Source organism: Homo sapiens, chromosome 19 (assembly GCF_000001405.40).
Source record: "Homo sapiens chromosome 19, GRCh38.p14 Primary Assembly".
In the NCBI taxonomy this organism is placed as follows: Eukaryota; Metazoa; Chordata; class Mammalia; order Primates; family Hominidae; genus Homo; species Homo sapiens.
The window spans coordinates 4,444,294-4,465,257 of NC_000019.10; the positions used below are offsets into that span (position 1 = coordinate 4,444,294).

The 20,964-nt window shown below is 56.5% G+C and overlaps 2 protein-coding genes and 1 non-coding gene across 9 annotated transcripts in view, besides 5 other annotated features; 2 read left to right on the forward strand and 1 right to left on the reverse strand.

Annotated features, from left to right (window-relative positions):
* The window catches only part of CHAF1A (chromatin assembly factor 1 subunit A), a 48,191-nt gene extending 41,654 nt beyond the window's left edge, over window positions 1-6,537 (forward strand). For 2 of the 4 annotated variants that reach the window (XR_007066505.1, XR_007066507.1), the window contains 2 exons: window positions 251-3,032; window positions 3,407-6,537. Coding sequence is in view for 1 of the 4 variants with exons in the window: in XM_011527605.3 (XP_011525907.1) it covers window positions 2,812-2,894 (83 nt within the window). In the remaining 3 variants the exon portion in view is untranslated. Of the gene's footprint in view, window positions 1-250 lie in introns of all 4 variants that reach the window. The other 2 variants (XR_936135.3, XM_011527605.3) reach the window with 2 other exon arrangements.
* Window positions 83-251: a silencer, noted in NCBI's record as "fragment chr19:4444373-4444541 (GRCh37/hg19 assembly coordinates)". NCBI's record gives its function as "represses an EF-1alpha promoter that drives an FKBP-Casp9 reporter gene in an ReSE screen in K562 erythroleukemia cells {active_cell/tissue: K562}" and the evidence as "EXISTENCE:reporter gene assay evidence [ECO:0000049][PMID:32094911]".
* Window positions 713-13,586, reverse strand: UBXN6 (UBX domain protein 6). 4 transcript variants are annotated; one of them, XM_017027325.2, is made up of 11 exons: window positions 13,536-13,586; window positions 9,637-9,800; window positions 9,165-9,229; window positions 8,071-8,199; window positions 4,025-4,122; window positions 3,257-3,332; window positions 2,543-2,627; window positions 2,207-2,426; window positions 1,990-2,120; window positions 1,756-1,904; window positions 713-1,330 (listed from the first exon to the last, which is right to left on the reverse strand). In XM_017027325.2, the coding sequence occupies exons 2-11, from the start codon at window positions 9,722-9,724 to the stop codon at window positions 1,205-1,207; spliced, it is 1,167 nt and encodes a 388-aa protein (XP_016882814.2). In that variant the 5' UTR covers window positions 9,725-9,800; window positions 13,536-13,586; the 3' UTR covers window positions 713-1,204. The 4 variants fall into 4 exon arrangements, with proteins under 4 accessions (XP_016882814.2, NP_079517.1, NP_001164562.1 ...); NM_025241.3 differs by lacking the exon at window positions 13,536-13,586 and adding an exon at window positions 13,322-13,501; NM_001171091.2 differs by lacking the exon at window positions 13,536-13,586 and adding an exon at window positions 10,928-11,008.
* On the forward strand, window positions 1,685-1,755 carry MIR4746 (microRNA 4746). The gene has a single exon (NR_039901.1). It is a non-coding gene; the product is annotated as a microRNA 4746 (primary transcript).
* Window positions 9,037-9,736: an enhancer, noted in NCBI's record as "H3K4me1 hESC enhancer chr19:4453327-4454026 (GRCh37/hg19 assembly coordinates)". NCBI's record gives its function as "activates a minimal SCP1, AML or CMV promoter by ChIP-STARR-seq in naive H9 embryonic stem cells {active_cell/tissue: H9 hESC(naive)}" and the evidence as "EXISTENCE:reporter gene assay evidence [ECO:0000049][PMID:30033119]".
* Window positions 13,303-13,372: a silencer, noted in NCBI's record as "silent region_9890". NCBI's record gives its function as "represses an Ori minimal core promoter by ATAC-STARR-seq in GM12878 lymphoblastoid cells {active_cell/tissue: GM12878}" and the evidence as "EXISTENCE:reporter gene assay evidence [ECO:0000049][PMID:35858748]".
* Window positions 13,403-13,452: a silencer, noted in NCBI's record as "silent region_9891". NCBI's record gives its function as "represses an Ori minimal core promoter by ATAC-STARR-seq in GM12878 lymphoblastoid cells {active_cell/tissue: GM12878}" and the evidence as "EXISTENCE:reporter gene assay evidence [ECO:0000049][PMID:35858748]".
* Window positions 13,563-13,762: an enhancer, noted in NCBI's record as "active region_13774". NCBI's record gives its function as "activates an Ori minimal core promoter by ATAC-STARR-seq in GM12878 lymphoblastoid cells {active_cell/tissue: GM12878}" and the evidence as "EXISTENCE:reporter gene assay evidence [ECO:0000049][PMID:35858748]".

Consider the following 20,964-nt stretch of genomic DNA (forward strand, 5'->3'; position numbering starts at 1 on the left):
TCAGCAGTGGGGCCGGGGCACACATGCCTTCCACACTGCAGGGCAGAGTCCCTGTGTCTCCTGGGGCTGCTGTACCACAAACCTGGTGGCTTAAAGCAAGTCACCATCTCACAGCTTGGGGGTCAGAGTGCACACATGCCCCGCCAGGCTAACATCAAGCTGTGGGCAGGACCAGGCCCTCCTGGAGAGTTTCCCAGTGCTCGGAGGCGCTGCATCCCTCAGCTCGGGGTCCCTTCCTCCACCTTCACAGCCATGCGCAGCCTCTTCCAGTCTCTCTCTGATTCACCCTCCTGCCACCTCTTGTGAGGACACTGGGTCCCGGACCACCCAGGATCATCTCCCAGCTCAAGACCTTTCATCATACCCAAGCCCCTCTTGCCAGGTGAAGTTGCGCATCTGCAGGTTCCAGGAATAGGATGTGGCCGTCTCAGGACACCCTGTCCCTCTGGCCACAGGGAAGCCAGGCCTGTGACAGCACTCGCCTCCCCTGCAGGGACTGGGCCTTTGTGGGCACAGCACAGCCTCCCCTAGCGCACGGGACTTCCTCCCCAGGTGGGTGGCTCATCGGGCACTTGTGGCCAGGTGCTGGCCTGAGAACAGGTATCCACATGGTCCCACCTTGACAGGGAGCCACACCCAGCCCCCAAGCCATCCGCTCTTCAGCAGGTGGGCCTGCCCTGTGTCCCACGGTTTCAACGGAGAACCAAGAAACTATATTCAAACAACCTGTTTATTTGGGCTTATGATTTACTAACTGCAGGTCTATGTGCAGGAAGGCCAGCATCCCCTCCTGCCGTTGTCACCCACATCCACAGAGCAGCCCTAGTGCCAGGTGCAGCCACTGCCACCCACGGCACACGGGAACAGGACCCATGCTGCAGGCCTGCTCTCCTGCCCAGGGAGATGCCACGTGTGTCTGTCCGGCAGCTTCATGACACAGTTACCAAGCAGCTAGGGAGGGCTTAGATTTGTTGGTGTCCCCAGGCCTCTCCCTCGGGGGCTTGGGCGCATCCCCACAGCCCCCAAGGGATGGGGGCTCTGCCACGGGGCCCAATTCCACAGCTCCACGGCTGGCGCCCCTCCCGTGCCCATGGGGCAGAGCCAAGTATTTCCAGAGGTGGCTTGGAGGCCCTGGGGTGGCGGGGAGAGGAACAGGGAGAGCATGAGACAGACCCACAGGGCTGAGGCCAACCCTGCTTTTATTTCACAAGAGCTTCTCGATGGCTGACAGGAGCTCGGGTTTCAGGATGGAGTCCGGCTCGGCCCCCGCGGCCTTGATGTCCTCCAGCACAGCCATGTCCCACGAGAAGGTCAGGAGGGCAGAGGGCACCTGCGGTAGGGGTAGGCCGTCACTCTGAGACCGAGAGTCGGCCCTTGCCGCGGCAGGGAACTCAGCGGGCAACCTGGGCGCGGGGATGCCCCGGCCTGGAAGCCATCTCAGCTGGTGGAGGCTGTGGCTCGCACCCAGGCCTCCTGCCCTCTCCCTCCGGGACTCCAGGACCTAAGCCTAAACCTACTGCACTAGCTAACGCACGTCACCGCTCCCATTTGATGGGGAAACTGAGGCGTGGAGTAGTTATGAACTTGCTCGAGGCCCTGCTGCCAGTAAGTGGGAAAGCAGGATTCAAACCCAGGGACCTGCCCAGGCCCCCTGCTCTGAGAACAAGGAGGCTCCCTCCTGGGGGTGTCTGTGCCGGTCCCAGGAGAACCTGCAGAGGCATCGGGTCAGCGGTGCTCCTGCGGGCCGACACTCACCAGCCCGCACTCGTTCAAGGCCAGGTTCTCGTCCTCGGACAGCTTCTGCCCTCCCGAGGCCAGCAGCTCAAAAGGCAGCCAGTCGCTCTGCAGGGCCTCCCGGACGAACCCGTACACCGCCCCCAGCCGCTCCCGAGCGTAGAAAGTGCCTGGGGAGTGGGGGAGTCAGAGCGGGTGGGGCCCAGGGCCCCCTACCAACCCGAGCCGCCCTCCACGGGCATCGTTGGTGCCCACCCTGCAGGAGGCAGCCATCGGGGAGGCGCACGCGCAGCAGCGTGTAGTTGTACTTGCGCAGCCCCCGCTGCTCCTCCTTCTCCCGCATGGCCTTGGTCCGCAGCACGCTCAGCCGCTCCACCGCCTCGGACCTGCACACGCGGGCCAGGTCACGAGGGCTGGCCGGGGTTCTTCCACCCCGCCCCGCCCCACTCTGCTCCGCGGACGTCAGGCCCACCTGAGCCTCTGCTCCCGCTTGATCTCCTCTGCTGTGAGGTTGAAGAAGTCCCCAGGCAGTTCGAACTGCGAGGCCAGGGGCGAGGGCTGGAAGACGCGGCGCTGCCTGTCCAGCTTGGCGCGCACGGGCTCCGCAGCCAGCAGCTGTTCCTTGTGCCTCTCCAGGCTCTGGGGCTGGGCCAAGGTGGTCTCGCTCAGCACGTAGAACTCCTCGGGGTCCTCTACAGCGTGGCAGGACATGGGTGTCACTGTGCAATGGAGAGACCCCCAAGCCGGGCCCTCCTGCCCCGAGGCCCCTCGTCCCCATTCCCTACTCAGCCAGGCCCTGTCCACTTACCCTGATCCTGGGCGGGAAGCAACACCTTCTGGAACCCAATGGCCTCAAAAAACTCGTGGGTCCCTTCCAGGCAGTTAATGCGCTCCTGGGGGTGGAGATGGGCGTCACTGGGGGCCCCTGGCTTCCTCCATGGCCTGGCCACACCCCACCCAGTCCAGGGGCCCGGCTCTCGCTATTGGGAGCAGCTGTCGACCCCTGGATGGGGCCCAGCCCTGGGGGTGCCTCAGTGCTGGATGCAAACCTGCTTTTCTACGGTGGGGGCTGTGGAGTCTCCAACAGCTCTGCACAGAGGAAAGAGTCACAACCAGGCACGAAGAGTGAGGCTGAGGAGCCAGACACTGCTGGGGCCTGATGCGAGGCTAACACCGCCCAGGACCCCAGTCCCTGCCCTTTCCCCCAGAAGAACCAGACATCTGGTTTGCATGAGAAACCTCCCCAGAGTCGACATGTTCCCAAACAAGCCCAGCTGAAGAGGAGGAAAAGGATGCAGGTGAGGAGAGGCAGAATTTGTTGATTTGGGGTGACCGGTGCATAAAAGTCTTGCTCTCCATCTTGTCCTGCTACCTTCTACTGGCCGAACCCTTCACTGCTTGTGGCTCAACTCTCGCTAGCTCCTCCAGGGAGCCCACCGCCTGGTGTGGGCCACCACCGGCTCCTGCAGGCCAGCTGCCCCCACCCCCAGCCTGGGCCCCGGGGGCCAGAAGGCACGCCCACCTGAAACACCTTGTTCTGCAGCTTGATCTTCCGGTACTTCTCCTCCTCGGGGTGCAGGTGGATGTTGTCCAGGTACCTGGGGTAGGTGGAGAAGGTGAGTGGGGCACAGCCCAGGCTGCCCACCCGGCCCCTCTGTGCCTCCTGCTCCAGGTAACAGCAGCTCAGCCACACTTGGCCTCTAGTCAGAGGGAAGAAGCGGCCCAGTGACGCGAGGGCAGCAGACCATCTCCGGGTGGAAGGCACACCTCGGACACCCCATGGAGCCCACCCCTGGTGCCAGCAGGAGCCCCACGGAACCCCTCACCGTCCCACCAGCCCTGGAAGGGCACAATTAACCACAGCGGTGGGGAAGCCACAGTGCCGGAAGAGTGGAGAGCCAGAGCTGAAGGGCCGCAGTGCCAGCAGGGGGCTCCTGCGGGGTGCTCCCTCGGCGTTGGCGGGCAGCGTGGACCTCCAGGCCTGCCCCCGATCCTGAGACCCGGGGAGTGGGGTGGGACCCTGCCTCCTCCACATGTTCCCCAAGGAAGCCAGGGTGGGAAACCCCTGATTCCTTCAACACCTTCATTTTGCACACGGGTAAACTGAGGCCCAAGGAGGCCCAGCCCTTTGCCTGAGGCCTCTGGGTGGAGCTGCCTCACTCTCGGCCTATGCTCCTTCCCAACCCACCTCAGCAGGTAATGAGGGGGCCAGAGGGGGTGACAGCCCCAGTGGGAGGGGTGCTGGGATGAGCTGGAGGGGCCAGGCAGGGCAAAGGGGCCACACGCTCACTTGGCAATGGTGTCCACACCCAGCTTCACCCGGTCCTGGTCTTTGTTGAACGTGTAGATCTTCATGATGGAGGCGGCCACTGGGTCGGTGGAGAAGTGCTGGGAGGAGGGAAGCAGGGAAAGCCACTCACTGAGAGCCCGGGCCGCACGGCCCTCCGCTGCCCAGGTAACAGGGGCAGGAAAAGGAAGGCAGAACAGCGGCTTGGAGCGGCCCCAGCTGTGCGCTCATCACAGAAAGGAAAAGAGAGACCCTCCAAGACCGCAGCCCTGCCCACGCCCCAGGGCAGAGGCGACGCAGCCAAGACCCAGCAGAACTCAAGTCTCCCCTTCCGCCTTCTCAAGGCTAGATCCATGGGACTTGGAAGCCAGTGTGACGCGACAGAACTGTGCCTCACACTCTGGCTTTAGAACTCGACCTCAGTGCTGAGATCCATCAAGGCCACCGCCACTTACAGAACCTCCCGCCACCATGGACGCCCCATCCCTCCTGCTCTCGCAGCCCCATGATGGACGTTCTGGAACCACTCCCGGGCCTCATGTTTACAAAGAGACCGAGAGGCCCATCGTCCAGGGTCACAGGGATGGCAGGTGGCAGAGAGGACACAAATGAGTCTGCAACCCTCAATGTCTGAAACTCAATAGCTGGAAGACGGATACCCCCAGCCCCTGCCCCTCCCCGAGGTCCCACCTATCCACCTATGTTACCGGGGGAGGGGAGAAGTCATAGCTGGAACTCTGGGGGTTTCCCAGAACCAGCCCTGCTGACTGCGAACAGCGTCCCAGCATGGAGAGGCTGAGAACAGTACGTACCCTAAGACCTGGAAAAGATTGGGGCACAAATCCACGCTCGGCACAGCCATCACACACGGCCACACCCAGAGAGCCACCCATGGCCTGGGAAGCAGGGCTGCCACCCGCACCTCCCTGGGCTGCCCAGACGAGGGCGGGTGAACAGAAGGGCAGCCCAGGGCCATGTGTCAGGATTCGGGCCACCTGCCCAGGCAGCCCAGAGCTCCACCCACCACCCCCCACCCTCAACTGCACAGCAGGGTCCCTCAGCAGCCCCCTGCGTCACACGGACCAATGACCTACACACTGAGCCGGGGCTCATGCCAACTGAAAATTGGGACCCGGCCCAGTCTGCCGGTTTAGTTGCTGAGATGATGTGGGGAGCGGGACAGAGCACGTGGATGCAGAGAGGCAGAGCTGCCAGATGGGCATGTCCCCAAGACAACAGCTTCCTTGGGATCAGAGCGCCCGGGACAGCACACCAGCCAAGGGAAGCGTGTCAGCTCCAAAAGCGGGCCTCGGGCGTTTTGGGCGACTGGCTGCCAGGCTTAGGTCAGGAGCTGGGTACATGCACAGACAAGGGACGAAGGAACAGCAGCCAGGAAGGGGTCCAAATCCATACAGGAATGTACTTTGTGAGAAAGGTGGGATTTCACAGCTGTAAGCAAAAGACAGGTGCTCTCGACAGGTGGGGCTGAGAAGAAAGCTGAGCCAAGATCTAAAAAAAAAATTACATCAGCTCCATCCCACCATGTTACATAATAACATGCTCCAGCTGGATCAAAGCTTCAACCATGGAAACAAGCAAGCAGTCAAGGAGAAGCCAGAAGAAAAGCTCTGGAGGCCGGGCACGGTGGCTCATGCCTGGAATCCCAGCACTTTGGGAGGCCGAGGCGGTCGGATCACGAGATTAGGAGAGCGAGACCATCCCGGCCAACATGGTGAAACCTCATCTCTAAAATACAAAAGTTAGCCCGGGTGTGGTGGCGTGCACCTGTAGTCCCAGCTACTTGGGAGGCTGAGGCAGGTGAATTGCTTGAACCCGGGAAGCAGAGGTTGCAGTGAGCTGAGATTGCACCACTGCACTCCAGCCTGGTGACAGCAAGACTCTGTCTCAAAAAAAAAAAAAAAAAAAGCACTGGAGAGGCCACAAAAGAATTCTCTCAGCATGGAAATGGGGAAGGCATTTCTAAGAATGACCCCAAACCCAAAAGCCATGAACTAAAACTGACACATTTAATTATACAGAGATCAAAAAATCCTACACAGCAAAGTGACCATAAGCAGAGCCAACATAGAAGCAACTAGAGGGAAACATGTGCAACTCATATCATAGGCAAAAGCCTAAATTGCCTAATATGTAAAGAGTGCTGCCGGGCACGGTGGCTCCCGCCTGTAATCCCAGCACTTTGGGAGGCCGAGGCGGGCGGATCACGAGGTCAGGAGATCGAGACCATCCTGGCTAACATGGTGAAACCCCGTCTCTACTAAAAATACAAAGAATCAGCTGGGCGTGGTGGCGGTTCGCCTGTGGTCCCAGCTACTCGGGAGGCTGAGGCAGGAGAATGGTGTGAACCTCGTAGGCGGAGCTTGCAGTGAGCAGAGATGGCGCCACTGCACTCCAGCCTGGGCGACAGAGCGAGACTCTGTCTCAAAAAAAAAAAAAAAAAAAAAAAAAAAAGAGTGCCTACAAATCACTAATAAAAAGACAAACTATCTACTAAATAATGTAGAAAGGACGCATTCTCATATGAAACATGGCCAATCCAAAATAAGGAAAGTGCAAATTAACTCTATCCTGAGATGTTATTTTCACCTACCAACAGGCGTAAAGATCAAAGTTTGGTGATTTACAGTATGGTGAGAGGATGGGGACACGGGTGCTTTTGCACACACTGCTGGAGTGGGTGTGAGTCTGGAGAGTCTATGGAACTATTACTATTTTGTTTTGTTTTGTTTTTAAGATGAAGTTTCGCTCTTGTCACCCAGTGTCCACGCTGGAGCTCAATGGCGTGATCTGGGCTCACTGCAACCTCCACCTCCCAGGTTCAAGCGATTCTCCTGCCTCAGTCTCCTGAGTAGCTGGGATTACAGGCGCCTGTCACCACGCCTGGCTAATTTTTGTATATTTAGTAGATAGGGGGTTTCACTATGTTGACCAGGCTGGTCTTGGAACTTCTGACCTCAGGTGATCCACCTGCCTCAGCCTCCCAAAGCACTGGAATTACAGGCAAGAGCCACCGCGCCCAGCCACTTACTATTTTCTGAGAAAGGGTCTCACTTGTCACCCAGGCTGGTGTGCAGTGGCATGATTACAGCTCACTGCAGCCTCTACCTCCCAGGCTGAAGCAATCCTCCCACCTCAGCCTTCTGAGTAGCAGGGACTGCAGGTGCACGCCACCATGCCCAGCTATTTTTTTTTGTTTTTGGCAGAGACAGGGTTTTGCCATGTTGCCCAGGCTAAAGCCGAAGTTTCTGAGAACCTATTGATGGTGTTAAGTGAGGACTTGCTGTATTGGAAAAAAATGCTGTGGACGTTTTTATTTTTTGAGATGGAGTTTTGCTCTTGTTGCCCAGGTTGGAGTGCAATGGCGCTATCTCGGCTCACCACAACCTCTGCCTCCTGGATTCAAGCAATTCTCTTGCCTCAGCCTCCCGAGTAGCTGGGATTACAGGCATGTGCCACCATGCCTGGCTAATTTTGTAGGAAGTTCTTTCTGTATTGAAGCAAATAATACTTAACCTTTTATGAAAAACAACCAGGCCACGCGTGGTGGCTCACGTCTGTAATCCTAGCACTTTGGGAGGCTGAGGCGGGTTGATCACTTGAGGCAAAAGTTCGAGACCAGCCTGGCCAACATGGTGAAACCCCATCTCTACTAAAAATACAAAAATTAGCCAGGCATGGTGGCAGGTGCCTGTAATCCCAGCTACTTGAGAGGCTGAGGCACGAGAATCGTTTGAATCCAGGAGGCGGAGGTTGTAGTGAGCCGAGAATGCGCCACTGCACTCCAGCCTGGGTGTCAGAGTGAGACTCCATCTCAAAAAAAAAAAAAAAGACACCTAGTTGGGAGAGAGGAGATACAGATGCATACACAATGGTGTGCCTGGATTTGGGGTATCAGAGGAGGGGCTTCACTACTAGCAGTGGCCTCTGGGGACTCTGGGAGGGATCTGTACCACCTGGGCTTCCGATGGAGGGTGGCTCAGGCACAGGAAGCTACAGGTTGGGGCAGGAGCACACAGGGTGCCACTCACCAAGAGAATGGCCTCCTTGATGCAGGCGTCCCGCTGGTCCTTCCTCAGGGTGGCCCCAGTGAGCGGACAGGTGAAGTACACGCCAGGCACAGCCAGGTGGGCAGAGCCTTCCTCTCTGGGCTCAGATACCTGGGGCGGTGAAAGCGTCCAAGTCTGGACCGTGGACAGAGGCCACCCCGACCCTCGCCGAGCACCACAGTCCTGAGTGTGGCCCGTAGAACCAGACATCTCCAGCCCCCATGCTGTCCCTTCCACCTGGTGGCCGTGGGAGACACCCTGGCCAAGTGACCGGATCCCCGAGTCTTTTCCCTGGTATGTCAAATGTCCCTGTGGGGCCTGCTCAGAACTAAACGAGGTAAGGAACGGAAAGTACGGAGCAGCTTCTGACACGCAGGAAACACCCAGCAGATGGCAGCTGGGTTCCTGCTGGTCCTGTCCCCAAGCTGTTGAGGAAGGAGCTCTGTGTGGGTGTCTGCGGGCACAGTGCGCTGGACAAGGCATGACTTCTGGGCCTCCATTTCTAGGCCATCTCTAAGGTCCCTGCGTGCTAAAATTCACTGAATCCTCGAGGGTCAAGCTGCTTAGAACTCCTTTCAGCGGAGCTCTGAAGGCCCACCTCCTAGAGGAAGGCCTCCCTGATTCCACCCGTCTCCACAGAGCCTCTTGACCTCCAAGGCAGGCAGGACTGGGCAGTGCTAGGGGACAGGCTCTGAAACCACAGACTGGCTCTGGTCCTGCCTTTGCTGGTCCTGGGGTGTAGGAGAGAGGACAGCTGGTTTCACCTCTCTCAACCCCGGTTCTCTTTTTGAATAGTGGAAACTGTAACTGCATCTGCCCTTAAGGGGTTAAGGGGAGGGAGCGATGGGCTCGTGTACCTGAGGCCCACTTCTCCAGGCCTGAGCCGGCATCCTCAGCTGCCGAGCCCCGAAGGTCCCAGACAACACCGTGTTCCACCACAACCTGTGTCCACCTTGCAAGGCAAGGTTTTCCAACAGCCCTTGAGCCCCAAGGGCAGAGGCCACATCTCCCCCGTGACACAGTCAAGCTGTCCCCACCCCTTGGCATGGGACAGTGCCACCAGTGGCTGTTCTTACCACGTTGGTCCCTGGGGCCTCGGGGCTCCCGCTGACGGTGGCTTCGGCTTGAAGTTCCTTTCTCACTGGAAGGCAGCCCAAGAAAGAGAGGCAGAGACGGGATAGTGAGCACGCCGCTGTCCTGGCCCAAGCCCCCTCATTCCCGGGGTGGGCCTGGGGGCCACGCACACCGCCCCAGCCTGCTTCTGCTGGAGGTCAGGCTGGAGGTCCCCTGCAGGACTTGCTGTGCAGCCACCCCTCAGCCTGAGCAAGCACCCCACTGCCTGGGCAGCCCGTTTCTGCTCCAAGTCTCTGCTCCCACCCCCTCCCCAGGAAGCTGCCCTTCCCCCAGCACCTGCCCTTGATGAGCCGCTCCCAAGGGTGACCCTCACACCCCCACGGTTGCTCATGTGACTTCTGCATCCAGGGCCAGGCACCAGGGCCGAGAACCTCAAACAGCCCCAACCTGGGCCCGAGGAGGGCCATATCTCACCCTGGTTTCGGATGGTGTCCTGCGATGTGGGGCCCCAGGCCCGGGACTGCTTCTGCTCCAGCCGGGCTAGGGCGGCAGCGGCTGCCATCTGTGCCTCATTGGTGGGTCCCTGGCGGGGCGGCCTGGGGGCTGGCTGGTTGGGCTTCTCTTTGTGGGCCTTTTCCCTGGGAACAGACCGAGGGAGAGTGAGTGTATCCTCCCGAGGTGGCCGGCAAAGCTGACGTGCAGTCACACAGAGGAGCTTCTGCCCCTCCCCAGCACCATCAGCCAGACGTGTCCCTGCCTATGTGGGCCAGGACACCTGGTTCCCAGGGGCCACCTGCAGCCACCAGATGGTTCTACTGCAGGCGGAAGAGCCCCTGGAGGAAGGAGATGCTGGTTCCACTCAGCTCTGCACCATCGGGCAAGTCCTGCCCCCACTGGCCCTCAGCGTCCTCATCTGTAAAATGGGGTGACAGCACCCCTCCTGAGGTGAAGGCACCTTGACATCCTCAGTGCTTTTTTTCTTTTTGAGACAGGGTCTTGCTCTCTCACCAAGGCTGGAGTATAGTGGCACGATCATGGCTTACTGCAATCCTGAGCTCCCAGGCTCAAGGAATCCTCCCGCCTCAGCCTCCCAAGTCGCTGGGACTTAGAGGCAAGCATCATCATGCCTGGCTAATTTTTCTATCGAGACAGGGTCTCGCTATGTAGCTCAGGCTGGTCTCGAACTTTTGCCTCAAATGATCCTCCCACCGTGGCCTCCCAAACTGCTGGGATTATAGGCATGAGCCACAGCACCCAGCCCGCATCCTCAGGAATTGAGGAGACTCAAGGGGTGTCACATCCTCCCTCCCTCCCTGCCATAAGACTCTCCACCCTCAGGTCACAGCTTCGTTTGCTGAGCACCTACTGTGTGCCAGGACCCTGCTGGGAGCTGGTCGGCTCGCTTGGTTTACTCCTCCTAACAAGCTGCCAGGGAGGCCTCACCATCCCATTCCTAAACCCAAGAGGGACAGGAAGTCCGGGCGATGTGCCCCATGCCACGCCACCCTCGTGGCGGGACCCTGGGGAGAGCGGACAGCAGAACCAGCCTCGCCCTGGCCACTCCATGCCAGGCCTAGGGCTGTGCAAGTACGAAGAGCTCATGGACTCGTGGCTCCACCCTGTTGAGCCCTACACCAAGGAGAGTTCCGTAACCCACGTGGCACAGTGACCTGGCAGAGAAGCCTCGCAGAGAAGCCCTTTCTCCCAACCTGCTCGGACGCGTCTGTCTCACCCGTCTCCTCTCAGGCCCCTCCCATGAACTTACGGGCTGTGTCAATTTCTGTGCCGTAGGTCTATTAAAACCTTCTGGGAGGCCAGGCTCTCAGTTCAAGCCCTATACTCCTCTGGCTCTGCTTACATACCCGGGCAGCCCTCCCTCCTCGTCCCACCCCTGCCTATCTAGTCCTCCCACAGCTGAGCATCTTGGGTGGAAGAGGAGATGACTCATGAAGACCCACCCCGGCCTCATCCGATATCTGGGTCTTTCCAACAAAATGCCATTTCCCAGGGCACCTCACCCCAACCAGCCATGGACCCTGCCCCCCTGGGCAGCCACAGGGACCCTTCTGGAACCTCAGCCAGGGAGCGTCAGCATCACTCCACTGCACAACGCCCTCCCACTGCAAAATCCTAAAGCTTCCCTTGGCCAGAGAGCCCTTCCCAGCCTGGCCCACTGCCCTCCCGTGGCCTGTCTCCCCTGGGCTCCCCGCAGTTCTTCCCACACCCCAGCTGCTCCCCACTGCAGGCCCCTGCACTGTCTGCACCTTCTGCCCAGAATGTTCTCCGGGGGAGTGGGAGGAGGATGGGGGTCTGGAAAGGGCTAGAGCTGCCGCAGGGAGAGAAGGAGGGGCAGATTTCCCCACAGCTGAGTCTCACTGTGTCCTGGGAGAGGCCTTCCCAAACCACCTGACGGCCCCTGCTCACCCTCCTTGGAGGCCCTGGGCACTCATCCAAGCACTCATCGCCTGAGCGCTCATCCAAGGTCTGTTGGTTTATTTGTCCATCGGCTCCCTCTAGAAGGTGAGCCCTGGGACAGCAGAGGCCTTCTCCTGTCCACCACTGCAGCCTAAAACAGGACTTGGTGCCCACCCACCCCACACACCCTGGATATGCAGTCTCGCTCCACAAGGGACCTCCGCACCGCTTCCTTTCCCAACCTTCCCCTCCAACCTTCCCCTCTCCGCCCAGGCTCTGGGCTGATCCAGCCATCACCCCGATACCCTGCATCCTTCCTATCATGCCCAGTCCCAGTGGCCCCAGCACCCCCCACCCACTATTGGTTGAATCAATGAAGGGCTCCCCCGATTTGCCCCCTTCTCTCCCTGACCCCTCTCCCTCCCTCACTCAGCCTTTGCTCTCCTGCTCTCCCCCAGGAACCCTGACGTCCTCACTATGCCCCTACCTCCATCACCACCCCACTGCCCCGTGATTCCTGACCCCCACTTCCTGCCACCTCCCTGCCTCTCCCAGCCCCCACTCCCTCACAATCCCTTCCACTATTGCTTACAGACCCGTGTCCTGGCTGCCTGGCTGACTTCCTCAGTCCCTCTCCATCAGTCCCCACCACCCTCTGGCCAGCCAGCTCCCTGCAGCGGCCCCAGCTCTCCAGTTTCCCTTTTCTCAACCCAACAGCCCTCAGCCTTGCACCTTCCCTAGCTCCACTTCTTCCCCGGCCCTCCCAGCTGGCTCAGCCCTGCTCAGGCCCTTCTCTCCAAGTCCTCCCTAGACAATCCGGAAGCCTGCCCGGCATCTATCTCCTTTCCCCTCCTCTCCCACTTCCATAATCCACTTGGCACAGTGACGTGGCAGAGAAGCCTCGCAGAGAAGCTCTTTCTCCCAGCCTGCTAAGACGCGTCTGTCTCACCCGTCTTCTCCTCTCAGGCCCCTCCCGGGTAAGAGTCCATCTGTCAGAATCCCTCACCTCCACTCTCCTCACACACCTTCCTCAGCCCCTCCCTCTCAATTCGCCAGGACATCCCAGGTCACTGACGACGCTGCCCACCCCGGCCTCCCTGGCCTTCCAGACTCTTTCTAGTCTCCCATCAGCCTCCCACGTGCTCCAGATACCAAATCCAGAACCCCTCTTCCCATGGATACCTCAAAACAACTCTTCACCACCCCACCCCACAGCTGTGCGTCCTCCTCCAAGCTCAGCTCCCATCCATGGTCACCTAGATTGCCCCAAATCATCCCGGCCTCTTCGGCCAGCCGGGTCCCCAGACAGAGCTCTCCCTCACCACCCGGCTCAGGACTCATGATCCCGTTTTTCCCCAAAGGTCGTTCCACTGACCCCCAACTGCCTACAGCCCCGTCGCCCTAATCCCCCGCCACTGCATCGGACCCTCCTGCGGCCCCGCCCCCGAGACCTCCCCTCCCGCCCCGCCCCCTGCGCTAGTTCCCCTCCCCTCGCCTCCCCCGCCGCGCCCCCGGGTCATACCCGCCCCCTCCTGCCCCGCCCCCAGATCTCTCTCCCCTCCCCCTGACGCCCACCCTCGGCCCGACTTCGTCCGCCCCCGGCGCCTCTCCCCCTCCCCTGACCCTCGCGTGCCGCTCCCAGCCCCTCATCCTCTCCGATCTCCCGAGCCGCCCAAGGCCCCAGATCTCTCTCCCCGGCCGTCCCCGCCCCGCAGGGCCTCAAGCCCCTGCGTTCCTCACGCACCCCACGGACTCTTTGAGCTTCTGACCGGGTCCCGCGCTCTTGAACTTGATGTCGGCCTTGAACTCCTGAAAGAATTTCTTCATGGTGGCGGCTGGCCCGGCGGCGGGGGGCCGCGGGGGCGGGGGGGCACGGGGCCCAGTCGGGGACGGGGCCGCCGGAGACCAGCCACCGGAAGAAAATTAAAAAAAAAAAAAAAAAAAAAAAAAAAATTTACCTCGCCGCCGGAAGTCCCGCCTTCCCCTGGCCTGCCACGTGACAATCGACTAGACGTGCCTCTCTAGCGCTCGGTGCCTTGCTGGCCCAGGGCGGCCGCTCTGTACGCTGGAGCCGCGTCTCTGTGGTTCTTCCGGACTCCGTTGCCAGGGCGACGAGTGCACCTCTCGATTGGAGACAGGGCATTCCGTGGCGCTCCCCAAACGGTGACAAACGGTGATAGGACAGGGACAGGCCAACTGAACCTCGCAGAGAAAGCACTGGGCCCTATCCCTTTCGCTGCTCAACCTAAACTAGGCGCGGTGGCTCACGCCTGCAATCACAGCACTTTGGAGGCTCAAGCGGAAGGATTGCTTGATCCCAGAAGTTGGAGACCAGCCTGGCAACATGGCAAAACCTCGTCTCTATAAAAAAAAAAAAAATAAAATAAAATAAATTAGCCGAGGGTGGTGGCGCGCGCCTCTCAGCTACTTGGGAGGCAGAGGCGGGAGGATCGCTTGAACCCAAGAGGTCGAGGCTGCAGTGAGCTGTGATCAAGCCACTGCATTCCAGCCTGGGCGACAGAGAGAGACCCTGTCTCAAGCAAAACAAAAAAAATTCCAACCTTCTCTGTCTCCCCAGAGCTTACGTGATAAAATCCCAATTCAATGTTGGGTATTGGAGGCCCCCACGATCTGGCCTGTTTTGGTGCCTGAAGCACCCCCCCGCCACCATCACCACGTACCCTAGGTAGGAGCTGTTTAAGAGGATGCACCTGGGCCGGGCGCGGTGGCTCATGCCTGTAATCCCAGCACTTTGGGAGGCCGAAGCGGGCGGATCACAAGGTCAGGAGATCGAGACCATCCTGGCTAACACGGTGATACCCCGTCTCTACTAAAAATACAAAAAATTAGCCGGGCATGGTGGCAGGCGTCTGTACTCACAGCTACTCGGGAGGCTGAGGCAGGAGAATGGCGTGAACCCGCGAGGCGGAGCTTGCAGTGAGCCGAGATCTCACCACTGCACTCCAGCCTGGGCGACAGAGCGAGACTCCGTCTCAAAAAAAAAAAAAAAAAAAAAAAAAGAGGATGCACCCAATGCACCCAATTGGGACCTGGGGATTGGGGATCCACTTTGGTGGACACCAGTTAATAGTGGCGTACTTTGGTCTGTGCAATCCACAAAGAAGATACACAAAGTGACAGTTAAAACAAGCCTCAAAAAATGGGAGTTGGGGGTCAGACGTGGTGGCTCATGCCTCTAATCCCAGCACTTTGGGAGGCCGAGGCCGGCGGATCACTTGAGGTCAGGAGTTTGAGACCAGCCTGGCCAACATGGTGAAAGCCTGTCTCTATGGGCACCGGTAATCCCAGCTACTCGGGAGGCTGAGGCAGGAGAATCGCTTGAACCCGGCAGGTGGAGGTTGCAGTGAGCCGAGATCTCGCCATTGCACTTCAGCCTGGGCAACAGAGGGAGACTCTGCCTCAAAAAAGAAGGAGTTGGAATGAGATACACAGAGACTGATGGAGGAGAAGCCTCCAGGTGAGGAAACAGCCCACCCCAAGACTGAAATTGAAATATCATGGGTTGGACGGGTGGCTCAGGCCTGCAGTCCCAACATTTTGGGAGGCCAAGGTGGGAGGATTGCTTTAGCCCAGGAATTGGAGGCTGCAGTAAGCTAGGATCACGCCACTGCACTCCAGCCTGGGCAACAGAGCCAGACCCTGTCTTATTAAAAAAAGAAAAAAAGGCCAGGCACGGTGGCTCATGCCTGTAATCCCAGCCCTTTGGAAGGCCGAGGCGGGTGGATCACGAGGTCAGGAGATTGAGACCATCCCGGCTAATACGGTGAAACCCTGTCTTTACTGAAAATAATTTTTAAAAAAATTAGCCAGCCTTGGTGGCGGGCGCCTGTAGTCCCAGCTACTTGGGAGGCTGAGGCAGGAGAATGGCGTGAACCCAGGAGGCAGAGCTTACAGTGAGCCGAGATCATGCCACTGTGCTCCAGCCTGGGCAACAGAGCAAGACTCCGTTTCAAAAAAAAAAAAAAAAGGAAAAGAATTGGGCCAGGTGCGGTGGCTCACACCTGTAATCCCAGCACTTTGGGAGGTCAAGGCGGGTGGATCACTTAAGGTCAGAAGTTCAAGACCGACCTGGCCAACATAGCAAAACCCCGTCTCTATTAAAAATACAAAAATCAGCCGGGTGTGGTGGTGTGTGCCAGTAATCCCAGCTACTTGAGAAGCTGAGGCAGCAGAATCACTTGAACGCAGGAGACAGAGGTTGCAGTGAGCTGAGATTGCACCACTGCACTCCAGCCTGGGCGACAGAGCGAGACTCTGTCTCAAAAATAAATAAATAAAGTAAAAAAATAAATAAATAAAAGAAGAATACAGTGCAACCCAAACTTCAATCTTTCTGATCTCCAGTCTCCTATCTATGAAATGGGGATAAGAATAACACTCTCTATAGATTGTAGGGGTGATCATGTGATTAGAAAGTTCTCAGTATGCCGGGCACGGTGGCTCATGCCTGTAATCCCAGCTACTCAGGAGGCTAAGGCAGGAGAATCACCTGAACTTGGGAAGCAGAGGTTGCAGTGAGCCGAGACTGCGCCACTGCAATCCAGCTTGGCAACAGAGCAAGACTCCGTCTCAAAAAGAAAAGAAAAGAAAATTACAGCTCATTGTTGTGAATAAGGAATTGTATACCCTATAACTCAAATAAAGGTACAACACTGGGCCAAAGTCACACAGCTGGAAAGTGGCAGAGACCCATCCCACTTCTCCAAGAATAAAATCCTATGGGGTTCCTCAGCCTGGTCTAAGGAGATCCTAACATTAATAGGCCCTAATAAATTTCTATTTCAGGTTCTAAGTATTCTGAGGGTTTCAGAAACCCCGTTTCTTGTTATCACCCACCTTTCCACCTCTGCCTCAGTTACCTGGAAGTATTTCCAGCTCACCTCTGGGCCTTTGCCTAGGCATTCTCCTTTACCAGAAGGGACTTCTCTTCCTCTGCCTAACTCAATCCTCTTCCACCATGACGCTCTCCTGGACTATCTTCCTCATGTCGGATGAGGTTATGAGATTAAATAATTTAACATTTCTGCCAGGAGCGGTCGGTGGCTCACACCAGTAATTCCAGCACTTTGGGAGGACAACATTTATTTTTCTTTTCTTTTCTTTTCTTTTTTTTTTTTTTGAGATGGAGTCTCGCTCTGTTGCCCAGGCTGCAGTGCAGTGGCACAATCTTGGCTCACTGCAAGCTCCACCTCCCAGGTTCACACCATTCTCCTGCCTCAGCCTCCCGACTAGCTGGGACTACAGGCGCCCGCCACCACACCCGGCTAATTTTTTGTATTTTTAGTAGAGACGGGGTTTCACCGTGTTAGCCAAGATGGTCTCGATCTCCTGACCCCGTGATCCGCCCGCCTCGGCCTCCCAAAGTGCTGGGATTACAGGCATGAGCCACCATGCCCAGCTTTCTTTTTTTTTTTAGACAGGGTCTTACTCTCTTCCCCACGCTGGAGTGCAGTGGCACAATCATGGCTCACTGCAGCCTAGAACTTCTGAGCTCAAGCAGTCCTCCCCACTCAGCTTCCCAAGAAGCTGGGACTGCAGGCATGTGCCACCACACTCAGCTAATTTTTTTTTTTTTTTTTTTTTTGAGAAGGAATTTCGCTCTTGTTGCCCAGGCTGTAGTGCAATGGTGCGATCTCGGCTCACCACAACCTCCATCTCTCGGATTCTCCTGCCTCAGCCTCCCGAGTAGTTGAGATTACAGGCACCCGCCACCATGCCTGGCTACTTTTTTGTATTTTTAGTAGACACAGGGTTTCTCCATGTTGGTCAGGCTGGTCTTGAACTCCTGACCTCAGGTGATCCGCCTGTTTCAGCCTCCCAAAGTGCTGGGATTACAGGCGTGAGCCACTGCACCCGGCCTCCGGGTAATTTTTTAAAAATTGTTCAATCTTGCGCAGTGGCTCACGCCTGTAATCCCAGAACACTGGGGGGCCGAGGGAGGAGGATTGCTTGAGCCCTGATGTTCAAGACCAGGATGGGTAACATAGTGAGACCTTGTTTCTACTAAAAAATAAAAATAACAGGCCAGGCACAGTGGCTCACCCCTATAATCCCAGTACTTTGGGAGTCTGAGGTGGGTGGATCACAAGGTCAGGAGTTCAAGACCAGCCTGGCCAACATGATGAAACCTTGTCTCTGCTAAAAATAAAATACAAAAATTAGCTAGGGGTGGTGGCAGCACCTGTAATCCCAGCTACTCAGGAGGCTGAGGCAGAGAATCGCTTGAACCCGGGAGGCAGAGGTCACAGTGAGCCAAGATCATGCCACTGCACTCCAGCCTGGGCAACAGAGCAAGCCTCCATCTCAAAAAATAATAATAATAATAAATAAAATAAAAATAACACCCTGGGCAACATGGCGAACCCTTGTCTCTACCAAAAAAAAAAAAAAAAAAAATCAGTGCTGGTTGTGCCTCCCTGTAATCCCAGCTACTTGGGAGGCTGAGGCATGAGAATTGCTTGAACCTGGGAGGCAGAGGTTGCAGTGAGCTGAGATCATGCCACTGCATTCTGGTTTGTGAGACTCTGTCTCAAAAAACAAACAAACCAAAAATTAGTGAGGCATGGTGGTGCGCACCTGCAGCTTCAGCTGCTTGGGAGGCTGAGGCAGGAGGAGATCGAGACCATCCTGGCTAACATGGTGTAACCCCGTCTCTACTAAAAATACAAAAAATTAGCCAGGTGTGGTGGTGGGTGCCTGTAGTCCCAGCTACTTGGGAGGCTGAGGCAGGAGAATAGCGTGAACCTGGGAGGTGGCGCTTGCAGTGAGCTGAGATCGCGCCACTGCACTCCAGCTTGGGCGACAGAGCAAGACTCCGTCTCAAAACAAAAAACAAAAAACAAACAAACAAACAAAAAACCATTAAAAGATAAACTCGGCCGGGCGTGGTGGCTCACACCTGTAATCCCAGCACTTTGGGAGGCCAAGGTGGGCGGATCACGAGGTCAGGAGATTGAGACCATCCTGGCTAACATGGTGAAACCCCATCTCTACTAAAAATACAAAAAATTAGCCGGGCGTGGTGGTGGGCGCCTGTAGTCCCAGCTACTCGGGAGGCTGAGGCAGGAGAATGGCGTGAACCCGTGAGGCAGAGCTTGCAGTGAGCCGAGATCCTGCCACTGCACTCCAGCCTGGGTGACAGAGTGAGACTCTGTCTCAAAAAAAAAAAAAAAAAAGATAAACTCAAAGTAAACAAATAACTGTTTAAATTTTAAAAATGAAATATGTATTATACTGATGGGGTCTCGCTAGGTTGCCCAGGCTGGTATAGATCTCCTGGTCTCAAGTGATCCCCCTCAACCTCCCAAATCACCAGGATTAGTGGTGTTAACCACCTCGCCCAGCGTTTGATTGTAAAGCTGTTGGAACTTTAAATTATTCTTCTTATTATTATTTTTGAGACGGAGTTTTTGCTCTTGTCACCCAGGCTGGAGTGCAATGGTGTGATCTCAGCTCATTGCAACCTCTGCCTCCTGGGTTCAAGCGATTCCCCTGCCTCAGCCTCCTCAGTAGCTGGGATTACAGGCACACGCCACCACGCCCGGCTAATTTTTGTATTTTTAGTAGAGACAAGGTCTCACCATGTTGGCCAGGCTGGTCTTGAACTCCTGACCTCGTGATCCACCCACCTTGGTCTCCCAAAGTGCTGGGATTACAGGTGTGAGCCACCGTGCCTGGCCCAAAAATTTTTTATACAGATGTGGTCTTCCTATGTTGCCCATGCTGGAGCACAACTACAGTGGCCATTCACAGGCACAATCATGGGTCACTGCAGCCCAGAACTCCCAGGCTCAAGTGATCCTCCCACCTCAGCCTCCCAAGTAGCCGGGACTACAGGCATGAGTCACTGCACCTAGCTTAACCATTGCAACCTCCGCCTCCTGGGTTTAAGTGATTCTCTTGCCTCAGCCTCCCGAGTAGCTAGGATTACAGCCACCACGCCCAGCTAATATTTGCATTTTTAGCAGAGACAGGGTTTTACCATCTTGGCCAGGCTGGTCTAGAACTCCTGACCTCCTGATCCACCTGCCTTGGCCTCCCAAAGTGCTGGGATTGCAGGTGTGAGCCACCGCGCCCCGCAATTTTTTTTTTTTTTTTTTTTTTTTAGAAAGAGTCTTGCTCTGTCACCCAGGCTGGAGTGTAGTGGTGCAATCTCAGCTCACTGCATGCTCTACCTCCCGGGTTCACGCCATTCTCCTGCCTCAGCCTCCCGAGTAGCTGGGACTACAGATGTCCACCACCACGTCCGGCTAATTTTTTTTGTATTTTTAGTAGAGATGGGGTTTCACTATGTTAGCCAGGATGTTCTCGATCTCCCGACCTCGTGATCCGCCGGCCTCGGCCTCCCAAAGTGCTGGGATTACAGGTGTGAGCCACCGTGCCCAGCCATTAACCACTTTTACGTGTACAGTTCGGTGGCCTCAAGTACATTCGCATTGTTGTGCAACCATTACAGCAATCGTTACATTTCATCTAGTGAAACGTAAATTCTGCCTAATTAAGTAATAACTACCCCCAACCCTGATAACCTCTAGTCTACTTTTCGTCTCTATGAATTTGACAACCCTAGGGACCTCTTATGAGTGGATACATATAAGACAGTACTTGTCTTTTTACGTCTGGCTGATTTCACTGAGGATATCGTCTTAAGGTTGCAGCCTGTGTAACAAATAGTTTTTAAACGATACTGCAGGCCGGGCACGGTGGTTCATGCCTGTAATCCCAGCAATTTGGGAGGCCGAGGCTGGTGGATCACTTGAGGCCAGCAATTCGAGACCAGGCTGGCCAAGATGATGAAACCCCGACTCTACCAAAAATACAAAAATTTGCCAGGTGTGGTGGCACGTGCCTGTAATCCCAGCTACTCGGGAGGCTGAGGCAGGAGAAACCCTTGAACCCAGGAGGTTGAGATTGCAGTGAGCCAAGATTGTGTCACAGCACTCCAGCCTGGGTGACAGAGACTCCGTCTCAAAAAAAAAAAAAAAGGAAAAAAAAGATATTGCACCAGCCTTGGCAACATGGTGAAATCCCATCTCTACAAAAAAAAAAAAAAAAAAAAATTAGCCTGCCATAGTGGCACACACCTTTAGTCCCAGCCACTTGGGGGACTGAGGCAGGAAGATTCCTTGAGCTCAGGAGGTCAAGCCTGTAGTGAGCCAAGATTACACCACTGCACTCCAGTCTGGGTGACATAGTGAGACTGTTTCTCAAAAAAAAAAAAAAAAAAAAAAAAAAATTGCATGGGGCCGGGCAAGGTGGTTCATACCTGTAATCCCAGCACTTTGAGAGGTCGAGGCAGGAGGGCTGCCTGAGCTCAGGAGTTTGAGACCAGTCTGGGTAACAAAGTGGGATCCCATCTTTATAAGA